Consider the following 17617-nt stretch of genomic DNA (forward strand, 5'->3'; position numbering starts at 1 on the left):
TTTTTATTCATAATATAGTAAAATCTTTCAAGGTATTCACTAAATAGAGAGGGAGAACTTTATAATGAAACTGACCTTTAACTCCACTTTTCCGAAGCTCTCGGTCCTGGATGAATCCTGCAAACATCTGAGTTTCCATGAAGAGATCCAGGAAGTGGCGTACACTTCGGGAGGTGTGGGACTTACGGAATGGTTCCCTTTGGAAAACACGCTCCCCACGCTCAGTGACAGTCATGTTCAAAGAATAATGTCCTACCAACTCCACAAAAAACCTGACAAATGCTTCGGACACCAGAGAGTTGAGTGTCACATCTGCTGCAACATGAAAAAGAAAAAAAGAAAAAAATCTCCTCAGTTATCTGTATCTGGAAACACTGGCTCTGGTTATGGAAGTCGTGCCTAAGAAGTTATAGATTAAAGGACTGAGAATAAATCTAGGAGTGTTCATTCTTCACTTTCTTTCTGCACGACCTAGAAAAGGCTAATTGCTTCTACCCTTCCCTTCATTTTCTTCCCATACATACTCCTTCTACATCTTGCAACCTGGCTTGCACATCTGTTGATTTCATTTTAACTGCACTTTCAAAGGCCACTGGTGAGAGCCAGCCAAATTTAATCTGCTTTTCTATTTTTATCTCCTTTAAGCTCCATGCTGCATTTGTGCTAACTACCTCCTCATTTCTCTTGTCCCCTACAACTCTATGCTCTTCTGATTTCCTGATTCCTTTCCTGACTTGATGACAAAGCAGTTATTTTTCTCTTGTCCTTTCTTTCTCTTCCTGAGCATGGTGCTCAGACACTCCTCTTCAACATTCCCTTCCGTAAAGGGCTAACTGGCACAGAGATAGAGCTGGCTATGATAATACTGTAATTCCAAACCTTAGTTTTCCAGCCCTGTTATCTCATCTTCTACATTTTCAGGCTACCTACGGGTGGTTATTATTTGGCTGTCCCATTAGCACATAAGTTCCATCTGTCTAAAGGTCACTATATCAGGTTCTTTTTGGAACTTGGACTATGAATCAATTAAACAAACAATACATATCTAAAGCTAAACCCATTATATTTCCCCACCAAATAAGTTTCCCTCTCAATATTCCCATTTTTTTAAATAAAGATTTTTTTTCCCCAAAATACAGACAAGGTCTTGCTATGTTGCCCAGGCACTTGTCTCAAACTCCTGGGCTCAAGCAATTCTCCCACCTCAGCATTCCAAAGTGCTGGCATTACAGATGTGAGCCACCATGCCTGGCTGACATTGCCATTTCATACTGCACTATAATTATTCCATAAAAATAGTGATTTGAGTGCTAAAGGTATGTTGTACTGTATTAAGTGCTTCTACAAACATAATAATCTATTATTTTTATTTTTCTTTTACAGAGGAAACTGAGATGCCAAATGATTAAATAAATTCTCCAGGGTCATCCCACCTAGTAAGTGAAGATGCTGGACTCACAAGTCAGGTGATTTTTAATCCCTATAATATACTACATTATATTGCCTTCCAGGTCCCAGGCTCAAACTTCAGATTCGACTTACACTCCCTCTTTTTCTTCCATATCCAAATCGTCTTTTTCCCCCCGCCCTCTTCACACTGTCTCTTGCTCTTTTCCCAGGGATCCACACAGGATGGGAATCAGGAACCTAAATTTAGTCAGAGTTCTACCATAAAGCAGTTGCATAATAGTGGGTGGCTCACTTTTCTCAGTTGGCCTGTCCATATCTATGCAGCTAGCAGGGCTGACCAGGTGATTTCCAAGGTCTCTTTCTGAATTACATTTTGACTGTAATCTAGGTTTTTGTTATATTTTGTCCAACACCCTTCCTTCTCATCTCTTTCCTTCTGCAGCTGAGAATCCATGTTCATCACTGCATTTATCTTTTTTCTTTTTTTTAATTAATTTTTTTTTGTAGAGATGGGGTCTTGCTATGTTGCTCAGGCTGGTATTGAACTTATCCTGCCTTGACCTCCCAAAGTGCTTGAGATCATAGGTATGAGCCACCACACCCAGCCCCAACACTGCATTTATCTTCAACACTTTTGCCTCACTGCTACATCTTAATTTCTTTCTTTTAAAAATTATGTTTTTCTATAATTTCTTTATTCTTTCCTTTTTAATGTATATACTTTACATATTCTTTGATATGTATGAATATTTTATAACATCACAAGTGAAATGAATAAATTCTCTACCACAAACAAAGCTTAGAAACAGAACATTACTAATGTCTTTGAAGTTTCCTATGCGACTCCAATGGCATTCTTCTTCTACTTTCCAACAGAGTGACCATGGAATTTTGTATTTGTTATTCCCTTGCCCTGCATTATAGTTTCACTATACACACATAAAACCCCAATAGCATATTAGTAGGTTTTTGTATGTCTTTGAACGGTATACAAAATATTGTATTCTTCTGCAACTTACTGTTTTATTCAATATATGTTTTTAAGATTCATTTTTAGCTGGGTGCAGCTAAAATGGCTCATGCCTGTAATCCCAACACTTCAGGAGACTGAAGCAGGCAGCTCACCTGAGCCCAAGAGCTTAGGACAAGGCTGGGCAACATAGACTCCATCTCTACAAAAAATTAAAGAATTAGCTGAGCGTGGTGGCACAGAAGTGTGGTCCCAGCTACTCAAGAGGCTGAGGAAGGAGGATTGCTTGAGCATAGGGGATAAAGGCTGCAGTGGGCCATGATCACAACACTTGCACTCCAGCCTGGTTGACAGAATGAAACCTTATCTCAAAAAAAAAATTCATTCTTAAGGCTTTATTCTCCTGAAAATGGATATTCACCCTGCTTTTAGTTTTTGCTATCACATATAATGGCACTATAAAAATTATTGAACTTGGCCGGGCGCGGTGGCTCACGCCTGTAATCCCAGCACTTTGGGAGGCTGAGGCGGGCGGATCACGAGGTCAGGAGATCGAGACCATCCTGGCTAACATGGTGAAACCCCATCTCTACTAAAAATACAAAAAATTAGCCGGGCGAGGTGGCAGGCGCCTGTAATCCCAGCTATGCGGAAGGCTGAGGCAGGAGAATGGTGTGAACCCCGGAGGGTGGAGCCTGCAGTGAGCCAAGATTGCGCCACTGCACTCCAGCCTGGGCGACAGAGCGAGACTCCGTCTCAAAAAAAAAAAAAAAAAAATTATTGAACTTGTTTCCTAGTGATCATGTGCAAGAGATTCACTAGGGTATGTATTTACAAACTACACTGTTGGGTTGTAGGATATGTACACCTTTAATTTTACTAGATAATGCCAACTTCAAAGTGGTTGAACTACTTGACACATTCTTACCAACACTTGATATTGTCAGACTTAATTTTTTTTTTTGAGACAGGGTCTTGCTCTATTGCCCAGGCTAGAGTGCAGTGGCACCATCACAGCTCACTGCAGCCTCAAATTCCTGGGCGCAAGTGATCCTTCCACCCAAGCCTCCTGAGTAGTGAGACTACAGGCACACATCAACACTCCTGGCTAATGTTTTAATTTTGTTTGTAGAAACTGGGTCTTGCTGTGTTACACAGGCTCGTCTTGAACTCCTGGGCTCAAGTGATTCTCCCACCTTGACCTCCCGAAGTGCTAGGATTACAGGTATGAACCACAGTGCCTGGACAGATTTTTTAGTTTTTGTGAATATGGTGGGTATAAAAAATGGTATTGCATTGTGGCTTACATTTACACTTCCCTGAATGTAAATGATGTAGTGAGGTTGCATGTCTCTTCAATTATTTATGGGCTTATCATGTTTCTTCTTCTTTGAATGTTTGTTCCTATCTTTTCCTCATTTTTCTATTGGATTGTTTATCTTTTTCTTACTGATTTGCAGGTGTTTTTTAAAAAAATAAATTCTAGACACTATTCATTTGATAGTTATATATATTCAAGATATCTTCACCTAGTCTGTAACTAGTTTTTAAAATCTCTTTTCCATGGTGTCCCTTGACGAAAAGAAAATGTAAAGATTTAACACAGTCAAATTAACCTGTCTTTTCCTTTATGGTCTCTGCTCTTTGTGCCGTATTTTTAAGAACCCCACCACTGTTTTATTGACATAAAATATTTTCTTCTATTCTTTTAAAAATATTTTCAAAAGCTTTGCTTTTAACATTTAAGTCTTTAAATTCACTGGAATTAATTTTCTGTATAGTGTGAGGTGTAGATCCATATTCATTTTTTTCATATAGAGACCAATTGTCCTAGTATCATTTATTATTATTATTATTATTTTTATTATTATTATTATTATTTTAGACAGGGTCTTACTCTCTCACCCAGGCAGGAGTGCAGTGGCACAATCTTGGCTCACTGCAACCTCCACCTCCCGGGTTCAAGCGATTCTCCTGCCTCAGCATACTGAGTAGCTGGAATTACAGGCGCGTACCACCACACCCAGCTAATTTTTGTATTTTTAGTAGAGATGGGGTTTCACCATGTTGGCCAGGCTGGTCTCAAACTGCTGACCTCAAGTGATCTGCCCACCTCCGCCTCCCAAAGTGCTGGGATTATAGATGTGAGCCACCGTGCCCGGCCCTAGTATCATTTATTAAATGGTCCATCCTTTTTCCACTGATACACAACGCTGGCTCTGACACAAATCAAGTTTCCTTATGTATATGCACTCTGTATTCTTTCTATTGCTCTATTTCTGCACCAAAACCAAACTATCTTAATTACTATCTTTATAATAATTTTTGATGTCTAGTAGTGCAAGCCTTCCAGTCTTGTTCTTTTTTGAGTGCCTTGGCTATTCTTGGCCCTTTGTACATACAATTAAATTTTATGGTTGGGCGCAATGGCTCACCCATGTAATCCCACGGCTTTGAGAGGCTGAGGTGGGTGAATTGCTTGAGCCCAGGAGTTCAAGATCAGCCTGGGCAACATCGTGAAAGCCCGTCTCTACAAAAAATACAAAAAAACCAGCCAGGTGTGAGGGTGCACGCCTGTAGGCCCAGCTACATGGCTGGCTGAGGTGGGAGGATTGCTTGTGCTCAGGAGGTCAAAGCTGCAGTGAGCTATGATCGCACCACTGCACTCCAACCTGGGTGACAAAGCGAGACCCTGTCTCAAAAATAAAAATAAAAATAATAAATAATAAATTTTACAATCAATTGCTGAATGGAATTCTAATTCTGTCTTGAACCCTCTCCCATCTCACTTTCTTCCCCTCATTCCACTGAATCTGCTGTTATCAAGGTCTTCATATTGTCAAATCCACTGGTCAAATCTTAATCGTCGCCATACTTGGTCTCTTTGCAGCTGTAGGCATAATTGATTACTCTTCTTTTCATGAAGTATTCTCTTTGCTCAACTTTTGCAATGTCACACTCCTGTTTGTTTTTTATTTTTCTTTTCACTTTTTGTAGAGATGAGGTCTCATTATGTTGCCCAGGCTAGTTTGGAATTCCTAGGTTCAAGCAATCCTCCTGCCTTGGCCTCCCAAAGTGCTGGGATTACAGGTGTGAGCCACTGTACCTGCCCACACTCCTGGCAGTTTACACACATACTTTCCTGGTTTTTCTCCTTCTTTACTGGCTGCTCCTCTGTTGCTGGATAGTTCTCCTCCTTCCAACCTCCAAGTGTTGGAAATCTAACCACGCCATTTACAACCAACACAGGGCTCAATCCTTAAACCTTTGTTATTTTCTAACAATACTCACTCTATACGATCATCTCATCTGGTCCCACAGCTTTAAAACAGCAATTTCTAAATGTTTGCTTTTAGCCCAAATCTTTCTTCTAAAACATTTCCAGTTGGATGTCTGCTTAAGTATTAAACTTCTAATAGGTATCTCAAACTGTAACATCCAAAACTAAACTTTTTATTACTCCTCTAAATCTGCTCCTTCTAGGCCAGGTGTGGTGGCTCACAACTGTAATTCCAGTGCTTTGTGAGGCTAAGGCGGAAGGATTGCTTGAGACCAGGAGTTTGAAATCAACCTAGGCAACGTGGTGAGACCCTGTCTCTACAAAAAATAAAAAGATTAGCTAGGTGTGGTGGTGCATGCCTGTAGTCCCAGTTGAGGCAGGAGGATTGCTTGAGCCCAGGAGGTTGAGGCTGCAGTGAGCTATAATTGCACCATTGCACTCCAGCCTGGGTGACAGAGCAAGAAACAAAAAACAGAAAAAGAAAAAACCCAAAACAAACAAACAAAAAACGCTGCTCCTTCCCTAATGTTCCCTGTCAGTACATAGCCTTTTCTCATCTGTAAAATGAAGATTAAATAATGATACCTGCTTCATAAAGATAAAACAAAATGTATGTCAAGTGCTTAGCATATGCCTGATACAGTATAAACACCCAATAAATATTATTTGCCCATTTATTTAACAAGTATTTATTGAGTACCTATTTACCGAATACTGTTTAAAGTACTAGAGATAGAGAACAAAATAAAGCCACTGTTCTCACGGAACTTATGCTGTAGAATATGAGATAGTGCTAAGAGCCTTGAATAAAATTAAAGCAAAGGGAAGAGGATAAGGAGCACTAGAGGAATGGGTACAATTTAATATAGGACAGTCAGGAAGGGCCTCAGTGAGAAGATGATGTGAGCATGGACCTACAGGAAGAAAGGGCAGGAGTCATGTGGATATCTGCGGGAATAGCATTCTATAAATGTAACTGAGCAAGTGCAAAGGTCCTGAAATAGAAGAGGACCTGGCATACTGAGGATAAGCAAGGAAGCTGATTATAGGATTTTCAGCGCACAGGCAATCTAATGCTACTTTGGTATATCCTTTAACATAGTGCTGGGCATTCAGTAAATATTTACTACCTTAACCCTTAACCTTAAGTCCTTGGCTCACTTGTCTCATACCTTGTGAAAAATTCTGCTCCTGAGTCAAGATTTCATTTCGTTCTTCCAAAATCTGCATCAGGGCAGCTTGAAGTTTTGGTGGTAGAATTTCATCCTCATCAGATACCTTAAGAAGAAAAAAAAATGGAGATTTTTCTTTGTTTGAGATTTGAGGGATTAAGTCTCAAATATGCCCTAGTTATTTCTCCAAAATTCCACAAGTGACTGTATATATTTTGGCTAAAGAGTCAGTCTGAAGTCTCCTTCCCTACATGAAGAATCTTTCATGTTTATGGTGTATATTTTAACTATATTAAAAAAATATATACTTTGTAAAATTTTCTGGCACTTTTCCACCAGATCTCTCTCATCTACAAGTCTTCTGTTATATTATGAAGATCATCCACAAATAGTGTTTCAAACATGATGAGCTAATTGATTCTGAAAATGTCCTGGGAAACACTCTTCTTTTCACCCTGTGTTTCAGAGCTCACACTCCTACATACAGGTTATATGCGGAGGGCTGCTCTGAGGAGGCTTTATGAACTCTTCCTTTCCACTTCAATATTCAGAATAAATGGTCACTTCATTTTTGCTCCCACTGTACCTTGTACAAATTTCTATTATACAATTTCTAAAACTTTATGTGTGTCTGTTTCTCCCCATTAGACTGTAAGACCTGAGGGTTCAAACTGTGTCTTACTCATTTTTACATTCTAACAGAATATCTAGAAATAATCAGTGCTTGGCCGGGCATGGTGGCTCACGCCTGTAATCCCAGCACTTTGGGAGGCAGAGGCGGGCGGATCACGAGGTCAGGAGATCGAGACCATCCTGGCTAACACGGTGAAACCCTGTCTCTACTAAAAATACAAAAAATTAGCCGGGTGTGGTGACAGGCACCTGTAGTCCCAGCTACTCGGGAGGCTGAGGCAGGAGAATGGCGTGAACCCAGGAGGCGGCGGAGCTTGCAGTGAGCCGAGATTGCGCCACTGCACTCCAGCCTGGGCGACAGAGCGAGACTCCATCTCAAAAAAAAAAAAAAAAAGAAATAATCAGTGCTTAATAAATGCTTTTAAAATGTAATTAAATTAGAGGCTTATGTGTCGACCCACCTGGAGTTGAAGGGTGGTTTTACCTCTTTTGAGAATGAGACATTTATGTTTCCTCCTTCCTCCTTTGGGATAGGCAGCTATAAACTGAAGCCAAATTTTTCAGGTCAATCTTGCATGATTGGCCATGGTGTCAATTCAAGTATGTGTAGGAACTAAAAGTTTTGCCTGAGTCATATTCTCTAAGTACTTTCACATATTGTCTGTCCAATTATCTACAGTAGACATTTATCCTAAAACATAAGTAATTACCTCCTTTGGCACTCACCTCCTGTAAGAACTTGTCTGCACAGAGATCAACTATCAGCACCTATGAAATAAAGGAGCCAGGCAAGTTCAACCAGAGACATTCACAGACAAATACAGGCAATGAGAATAGTTTTAAACAAAATTTACTCAAAGTTTCAGCCCATTTAAAAGTTAGCCAATCAACACAACAAAAAATAAATTGCAAGTAAAAGAATGATGACATGCACACCTATAGATTAAAAGAGACTAAAAATATGTCAACTAAATACAGTGTGTGGGGCCAGGCACGGTGGCTCACACCTGTAATCCCAGCACTTTGGAAAGCCGAGGCAGGAGGATCTCTTCAGCCCAGGAGTTGGAGACCAGCCCTGGCAACACAGTGAGACCCTGTCTCTACACATTTAGCTGGGCGTGTAGTACACACCTGTAGTCCCAGCTACTCGGGAGGCTGATCTGAGAGGATCATTTGAGTCTGGGAGGTCAAGGCTGCAGTGACTGTGATTGCGCCAATGCACTCCAGCCTGGGTGACAGAGTGAGACCCTGTCTCTAAATAAACAAATAAATGAATAAATAAATAAGTACAATGTGTGGACTCTGTTTGGAACCTGATTTAAACAAATTATTAAAAGTTTATGAGACAACTAGAGATTTAAACACTGGATTTTGCTGATATCAAGGAATTGTTGGATATTTTAGGTGTGATAATGGTATTGAGTTTATGTTTAAATATGCCCTTATGTTATAGAGATTCACATTGTAATATTTAGAGATGAAATTGTGTCAGGATATCCTTCAAAATATTATGGGAAAGAGGAATGGGTAAGAGTAAAGACAGGCCATGACTTGATAAGTACTGAAGTGGGGTGACTGGTACACAAGGATTCATTTCACTCTTCTGTTTACTTTTACATATGTTTAAAGTTTCCAAAATAAAAAGTTTTTTTTTAAATTTTTTATTTTTTAAAAGAAGGACAAGGCAGCGGAGTAATGGGGAACAGTCTTTTCAGTAAGTGGTATCGACACAGACGGTTATCCATATAAAAACAAATGAAGCAACCCCTACTTCACATTATACACACAAAAATCAAGTTCCAGGAGGATTCATAATCAAAAGTTAAAGGCAAAATAATGAAAGGCCCAAGAGATGATATAGGAGGATATTTTCATGAAGTTAATATAAAGTAACTTAAGCAGCTCACTAAAAACACCATCTATAACGAAAAAGATTGATAATTTTAACCACATTAAAATTAAGAATTTCTGTGCATTAAAAAACATCATTTTTGAAAATGAAAAGGCAAGCCACAGACAAAGGGGCCAGTACCCAGAATATAAAAAGACATGTTAACGCCAGGCGCAGTGGCTCACTCCAGTAATCCCAGCACTTTGGGAGGCTGAGGCGGGCGGATCACCTGGGATCAGGAGTTCAAGACCAGCCTGGCCAACATGGTGAAACCCCGTCTCTACTAAAAATACAAAAATTAGCCGGGCGTGGTAGCAGGCACCTGTAATCCCAGCTACCTGGGAGGCTGAGACAGGAGAATCGCTTGAATCCAGGAGGCGGAGGTTGCAGTGAGCCGAGATCACACCACTGCACTCCAGCCTGGGGGACAAGAGTGAGACTTCATCTCAAAAAGAAAAGAGAAGAAAAGGAAAAAAAGGCATCTTGAACAATAAGAGAGTAGGGGCTGGGTGCAGTGGCTCACACCTGTAATCCCAGCACTTTGGGAGGCCGAAGAAGGCAGATCACTTGAGGTCAGTAGTTTGAGACCAGCCTGGCCAACATCGTGAAACCCCGTCTCTACTAAAAATACAAAAAATTAGCTGGGCATGGTGGTGTGCACCTGTAGTCCCAGCTACTTGGGAGGCTGAGGCACGATAATTGCTTGAACCTGGGAGGCAGAAGTTGCAGTGAGCTGAGATCACGCCACTGCACTCCAGCCTGGGCAACAGATTGAGACTCCATCTCAAAAACGAAACAAAACAGTAAGAGAGTAAACAATGTAGTGGAAAGAGACAAAGATTTTTATAAAAGATGATATTCAAGAGACCAATAAATAGAAGGATGCTCAACCTCAACAGGAATCAAGGAATGCAAATTAAACCACAATATGAATAACACTACGCACCCACCAGATAGGCTAAATTATACAACTGATGATAAAAAGTGATGGTGAAGACGTGGAGCAACAGGAACTCTCATACACTGTTGAAGGGAATTTAAATTGGCACAACTACTTTGGAAAACAATTTAACTTTATTTATTAAAGTTGGAGATATGTTTACCCTATGACTCAGCAATTCAATTTCCAAGTATATACCCATTGAACTGCATGTGTGTATGCACTGAGGGTCATGTATATTTATAGCAACATTATTCATAACAACCTCAAACTGGAAACAACTCAAATGTTCAACTGTAGAATGGATAAGAAAATTGTGGTACATTCACACAATGGAATCCTATATACAATTAGAATGATCAGACTATTGTTGACCTCATCAACATAGATTAATCTTACAGATATAATGTTGAGAAAAAGAAGCCAGGCAAAAATATATATACCATATGAATCTATTTATATCAAGCTTAAAACCAGACAAAGCTGAATTACATTGCTTAGGGAGGAATGCCAAGGGGTAAAACTATAAAGCAAAAACAAGTAAATGAATACCATAAAAGTCAAGATAATGAGTACCTTTGGTGGGGGATGGGGATGGAAACAGAAAGAGGCATGATGGGGTCTTCTAGGGGGCTGGCACTGATCCCATTGTGGTAATATTTCCATTCCATTCTAATGCTCATTATGTATCTGTACATTTTGCTTTAACCACTTATCTATATGTGTGTTATATTTGAAATAAGGTTTTTTGGGTTTTTGTTTTGAGACAGCGTCTCCCTCTGTCGCCCAGGTTGGAGTGCAGTGGCATGATCTCGGCTCACTGCAACCTCCACCTCCCAGATTCAAGCAATTCTCCTGCCTCAGCCTCCCAAGTAGCTGGGATTACAGGCATGTACCACCATGCCTCGCTAATTTTTGTCTTTTTAGTAGAGATGGAGTTTTACCATGTTGGCCAGGCTGGTTTCAAACTCCTTGACTTCAAGTGATCCACCTGCCTCAGCCTCCCAAAGTGCTGGGATTACAGGCATAAGCCACCATGCCCGGCCTTGAAATAATTTTTAAAGTTAATCCAGAGTAGTGTACCCTTCAGAATAACACAAGAATGAGCCCAAGGTTACTACTGTAAATAAGATACAGCTTTGGATTTATGTGTACTATCGAATTTTCCCATCTTAATACTAGAAGTATTATAAACAGCAATATTATAATAATTTAATAGAAATATTATAAATAGCATAAAATAGTAATAACTAAATTAATAACAATTCCACCACTCTTAAGATCACTTATTTTTACTTCTCAATGCTCCAATATTAGGTTCCATTCTTCTATCTCACCTCTTCAATGGGTAGGTCCTGGAGCTGTGGTAAGGAGCAAGACAGGATTCCAATAAGGAATGGTGTAGGTGAGCACACGATGTCAATCATAGATGCTGGCAGGACTGGGATATAGGTATGCTGCCAGGTGAACGGATACAGTGTAGCTACCACAGCATGGCCACATTTTGACAGGGTGCTAGCCAGAGGAGAAAACAAATGGTGTCATATATAGAGTAACATAAGGAGGACATTTCAGTTATTATGTTAAAGAATTAAAAATTGATGCTGGTTAGTGATCATAGATTAAAAACTATGCAAACAGTCATTAATTTTTTAACATTTTACTTAAAATTTAAACTTACTTTACTGAAAATGTTCAATCTTAATCCAGCTCATTTCCACAATTTCTCATGCGAAAAATTAGTGTACTTAGAAAAGTATTACCAACTTTTGACAATAGGGTAAGCAAAATGCATTTAAAAGGGAAATTTATTACAACCCACAAAAGTCATTGGTATAGCCTAACGCAAGTGGCTTTTTGATGATTTACCATTTAAAATTATCCATGCCACTATATACCACTAGATAACTGAGAGACTGATCCTACATTTCAAAAATATGCCCAAATTTTTGTTCTCACTCATAGGTGGGAATTGAACAATGAGAACACTTGGACACAGGGTAGGGAACATCACACACCGGGGCCTGTCGTGGGGTGGGGGGATGGGGGGAGGGCTAGCATTAGGAGAAATACCTAATGTAAATGACGAGTTAATGGGTGCAGCACACCAACATGGCACATGTATACATATGTAATGAACCTGCACGTTGTGCACATGTACCCTAGAACTTAAAGTATAATAGTAAAATAAAAAAAAATGCCCCAATTTTAAAATTTGGAACAAATAAAACACCAGTGTGAAGTAACATATTTCACTTATTTCTTACCTTAGGCTGTTGGCAACAAAGATTACCCTACGCTCCAAAAGGAGAGAGGCACAGACCCGGATGAGATGACACACACTCAGGCACTTAAAGAGACATTTAAAATCAACATGTTCCAATCGGGAATCTAGTGGTCGGCAGAGTTCAATGGACTGAAATGCAAGAAGTTGAATCAGGTGAGCTAATGTTGGAAAACAATCCCTAGTGCCAACGCTATGGATCCTGTTATTCTTATATAAGTTAAATTCAAGAAAGGTCTGCTACACGGGGTCTGTGAAGCTTCCTATACTAATGCCAGGACCCAACAGCTTATTTTTGTGCTGTAAATCAAGATCCTGTATTCCTTCTGACAATAGTATATACAGTCTTCATTTATCACATGAAATTGTCATTACAAAGGGACTCAGTCTATGTATGGTAGAAAATCTCTGGGTCCTGGGTCTAGGAAGAACTATGTCACAGATCAACTGGATATTTCTCCAGTGCTTTATGGAAATAAAACATATTCTTTACAGTTTATGGAAAAGGGAAATCTATCCCCTTGGGCTCTGGAAACTGCCTACTAGTGTAAGTCCTGCTTTTTAGTGCTATCAAATCTTTTCAAAATGAGCTAACTTACCTCATCTCCAGCCCCAGGGAGGTAACTCTTAACTGTGATGGTGCGTCCAGGAGCTGGGAAAGGAGCTTCCATGACACTTCGCATGAATGGGTAAACAAGGGCTGGAGACATTTCTCTTCTCTTCTCTACTTCATCCAGAATCTATATACGCAAAGTGTTATTTTATTATGGACTAAGTTAAAAAATATAAAAGAATGCCATTACAGGAACTGCCAAACCTGGTGTACAAACTTTAAAATAACCCAAATAAAATTTAAGACAGATAAGCTTCTGCAATCAATAAAAGTTAAATAAGCATCATATCTCTTGGGAGGTATCATTATACCCTGAAGAAAAGTTACTAACATAAATCAACTTATTTTTAAAGGAGAAGCCCCTTTTCATCTCACTAAGGGAGGGGCAAAGAAGGTGACAGTGACAATGATATCCTGCAATTTGGTCTAAGAAAGACACGAGACAAGATAAGCTTTGGACTATGTTCTCCCTTAAGCTGAAAGTTCTAGCAAACCAAAATGAAGATGATATAGCAAGAGCAAATGGATTAGAGATGTAAGTTTAAGCCTTCAGGCACGTGGTTCCTAGTTTACTAATAGGGAACCTTTCTGAAGTAACATGTTAAACTCTATGCCACTTAATATTAAGAGCTCAAAAAGGACACCATTTTTCATACAGCTCATTCTCCACTCACCTTTGAAAAAAGATTGAAGCAGCCTAGGCGACTAACCATGCAGTATACCTCAGGGAGTCGCTTTCCTTTGCCTACTGGCTAAAAGATAAAAACAACAACAACAAAAAAATCAAGCCGCATACATTTTTATTAATACTAATTTGGACTATTAATTATCTTTTACTACTCTTTAGTACGGAGCAGTAACCAAGGCTCTCATCTTTAGTGAACACTGAAAGATGTGAAAAGTGCTAAAAATGATAGCATGTTTTATTCTAGGTTTAGTGAAGCCACCCAAGCAAGAAAAAAGCCCTAATATGGTTGGTGAGTAACTCAGAGCTCCTTCGAGTAGCTCATTGTACTCTATTTCAAATATATCCAGACTGAGATTCAGCCACTATGTCATCAGTTACTTCCTCTATTATAAACAAATAAAATAAATCCATACCCCTTCTCTTCTAGAACACTCCATGGTTAACCCCCACCTTCCTCTTGCTGTTTAAAGCTAATACAGCTTCCTTAATACACAGATCATTGAGCATCCCTCAAACTCATCTAGAGATAGTGTTTCTGAAGTTCCTACTCTGACTCAATTATTCCTTGACCAACCCTGTCTGTAACACAAATCTGATACTTACCAAGAGCTTCTTACAGTAACCAAACCACCGGCTTCCATCTTCACCAGTCAAGACAAAGGAGAATGTTTCACTGAAAAAAGAGCCAATAGTTAGTTTAGGATCCAAACAATTACTTATGGCATTCTCCATGGAACAAACAATTGAAAACTAGAGTCCAACAGTAGTCATTTTGTGATCTAGTTAGGATCCAAACAACCACTTACGGCATTCTCCATGGAAAAAACAATTGAAAACTAGAGTCCAGGTTTTCAAGTGATCTAAGAGGAGGCATAATATTACATTCATTGCAAGTTACACTCCTCCTAAGGAATGCCCAGGCCTTAAGAATATCTTGCCTTGTACTGGAGTGAGAGAATAGGTATGAGATAAGCTGTTGATGTTGGTTCCTTTTGTTTTCTTATTCATCCACTCTAGGTATTAATCGGGTTATTTTCATTTAAATTTTATTTTTATTTTTTAAGACAGTCTCACTCTGTTGCCCAGGCTGGAGTGCAGTGGTGCAAACAGATCTCACTGCAGCCTTGACCTCCTGGGGCTCAAGTGATCCTCCCACCTCAGCCTCCCAAGTAGCTGGAACTACAGATGTGTGCCACCATGCCCCACTAATCTTTTAATTTTGTGTAGAGATAAGGTCTCACTATCTTGACAGGGCTGGTCTTAAACACCTGCGTTCAAATAATCCTTCTGTCTCAGCCTCCCAAAGTGCTGGGATTATAGACATGAGCCACTGTGCCTGGCCTTATTTTCCTTTTGTTGAATGCCCAATTTAGTCAAACAGATAGGTAAGCTACAAAGACTTTTGATACGTTATTTCTCAGTTCCAAATTCTTCTCTTTAGTTCTGAGAGGCTGTATAGAGCAGCAATAGGCAAAGGATTATATCCTTAATATGTAAAAATTATTAAGAAAAATATCAACTCATTAGAAACATGGGCAAAAGATATGTGTTGATAATTTACAAAATGAAAACCTAAATATACCCAAGAAAGAAACTCAGACTCAATAATCAAATAAGTCCATTTTTTTTTTTTTTCTGAGACGGAGTCTCACTCTGTCGCCCAGGCTGGAGTGCAGTGGCGCAATCTCTGCTCACTGCAACCTCCGCCTCCTGGGTTCAAGCAATGCTCCTGCCTCAGCCTCCCGAGTAGTGGGACTACAGGCATGTGCCATCACACCCAGCTGATTTTTTATTTTTAGTAGAGACGGGGTTTAACTATGTTGGCCAGGCTGGTCTCGAACTCCTGACCTCAGGTGATCCACCCGCCTTGGCCTGGGATTACAGGCGTGAGCCACAGCACCTGGCCAAGTCCAATTTTTTTTTTTTTTAAGAGACTGGGTCTCACTGAACAGAACTTAATTTTCTGAAGACATATTTATTATCTACCTTCTTTCCTCCCTCCCTCCCTTCCTTCCTTCCTTTTATTATTATTATTATTATTTTTGGACAGGGTCTTGCTCTGTTGCCCAGGCTGGAGTACTGTGGCACAATCATAGCTCACTGCAACCTTGAACTCCTGGGCTCAAGTGATCCTCCTGCCTCAGCCTCCCGAGTAGCTACTGCACACCACCGTGTCTGGCTAGTTCTTTTGGTATTTTTTGTAGAGACAGGGACTTGCTATGTTGCCCAGGATGGTCTCAAACCTGGCCTCAAATGATCCTCCCACCTTAGCCTCAAAGTGCTAGGATTACAGGTGTGAGCCACTGCACCTGGCCTAAATCCAAACTTGAACAATATATACATGTCTGTATTTGGCTAAAAATAAAGATTGGAAGGGAATATGACAAAATATTTACAGTGATTACTTTTGAGTAACCAGACTGCCAGTGATCTGTAATTTCTGCTTTTTATTTACTCTTCTGTGTTTCCCAAATAGTCTAGAATAAACATATATAACTTGTTGTGGGGAAAAGCCAGCCACAGAGCAGCCAGGCCACTATGAAAGCTGCTGTTTATAAAGGTAGCAGTGCAACTGACAACACAAGAGCATCAACAGTGATGGCTGAGAGATGAGAGTGTCAATCAGGCTAAACTGCTTATGAGAGATAGTAGCTTAGTCTGGAAGCAACACGAAGTTGAAGTGCAGAGATATTTAAGCAACAGCTGAGGCTATTATCCAGAAGGTCATTACCATGTGATACGGTTCAATGAATAAAGCTTTTCAAACTAAATGGCATCATCAATAATTATAGTTTTGAACAAAGCAGGCATCTATTAATATTTACAAGCAGAATTCAGAGATTATGATAGTTTATTAATTAAAAGTAGTAATTTCCTCTAGATACCTGGAAGAAATCCTTTAATAACTTCCTTTCTTAATATACTACACTTCCCAAACTGGAGCCTCCCTTTGTACAGGTTCCACAGAGGAACATAAAAGCTGGGCTGTGGATTATTCTGTTAATTTGAAGAAGAAAGAAGATAAAGATGAAGACACTGCTCTGTTTTATCTCTGTTTCTAGGTTGAGTCTCAAAATCCAAGTCTTTTTTCATTTTCTGTCCACTTGGGAGCATTTCTGATTGTATGTAAAATAGAACTTTTTTTTTTTTTTGTAGAACTGGCAAACTGAAGAGACTCTCAAATTTGTTTTCCTTTTGACACTGAAATTATTCCACGTTTTTATTTTTTTAAGCCCCACATAGGAAATGTTCTAGTTCTGCTTCTTCCTTTCCTCCTACCACATCCTTGACTTGCCACAGTATTCACATAGCTTCACTAATGGCTGTACCCATTTCTCAAATACTCTGATTTATTTTTGCAGGTCTAATGAATAGAAATCAGATAAATTAGCCCATTTACCTCTTGAGTTCTGAGGTTGGCATCCAGTCCTTTGAATCAGGAAAACAAAATTTTGGAATAACTTTAAGTCTCTCTTCCATGTCTTTGGACTGCTTATAGCCATGATCATCCTGAAAAAGATAACACCATAGGTGACTTAAATTATACTATGTAAGTGGGGAATAGAAATAAAAAACTCAGCCTTGTCTCAGGAAAAAAGGTCTCTGATAAGCCTGAGTAGTTGCTGATAAGCCTCAGCATGGTTTTGTACTGCTTAACTAAATTAAAAAGTCAATTCTGGAAATCACTGAGGATGCACTGAGAACAGAGTTACTAAGAAAAAAGAATCCTGTTTTT

At 39.5% G+C, this 17617-nt stretch overlaps 1 protein-coding gene across 2 annotated transcripts in view, besides 1 other annotated feature; it reads right to left on the reverse strand.

Annotated features, from left to right (window-relative positions):
* DENND2C (DENN domain containing 2C) overlaps nucleotides 1-17617 on the reverse strand; it is an 87200-nt gene that overhangs the window by 4791 nt on the left and 64792 nt on the right. For both annotated transcript variants that reach the window (NM_198459.4, NM_001256404.2), the window contains 9 exons: nucleotides 17282-17391; nucleotides 14485-14554; nucleotides 13868-13945; nucleotides 13180-13320; nucleotides 12564-12712; nucleotides 11634-11811; nucleotides 8192-8233; nucleotides 6833-6938; nucleotides 76-312 (listed from right to left, as the gene is read on the reverse strand). In NM_198459.4, the coding sequence (NP_940861.3) occupies nucleotides 76-312; nucleotides 6833-6938; nucleotides 8192-8233; nucleotides 11634-11811; nucleotides 12564-12712; nucleotides 13180-13320; nucleotides 13868-13945; nucleotides 14485-14554; nucleotides 17282-17391 (1111 nt within the window). The remainder of the gene's footprint in view (nucleotides 1-75; nucleotides 313-6832; nucleotides 6939-8191; nucleotides 8234-11633; nucleotides 11812-12563; nucleotides 12713-13179; nucleotides 13321-13867; nucleotides 13946-14484; nucleotides 14555-17281; nucleotides 17392-17617) is intronic.
* Nucleotides 12189-13388: an enhancer, noted in NCBI's record as "BRD4-independent group 4 enhancer chr1:115142450-115143649 (GRCh37/hg19 assembly coordinates)". NCBI's record gives its function as "activates an origin of replication core promoter dependent on BRD2, P300/CBP, MED14 and CDK7 cofactors, and independent of BRD4, by STARR-seq in HCT116 cells {active_cell/tissue: HCT116}" and the evidence as "EXISTENCE:reporter gene assay evidence [ECO:0000049][PMID:35650434]".

Source organism: Homo sapiens, chromosome 1, assembly GCF_000001405.40.
Source record: "Homo sapiens chromosome 1, GRCh38.p14 Primary Assembly".
NCBI lineage: Eukaryota > Metazoa > Chordata > Mammalia > Primates > Hominidae > Homo > Homo sapiens.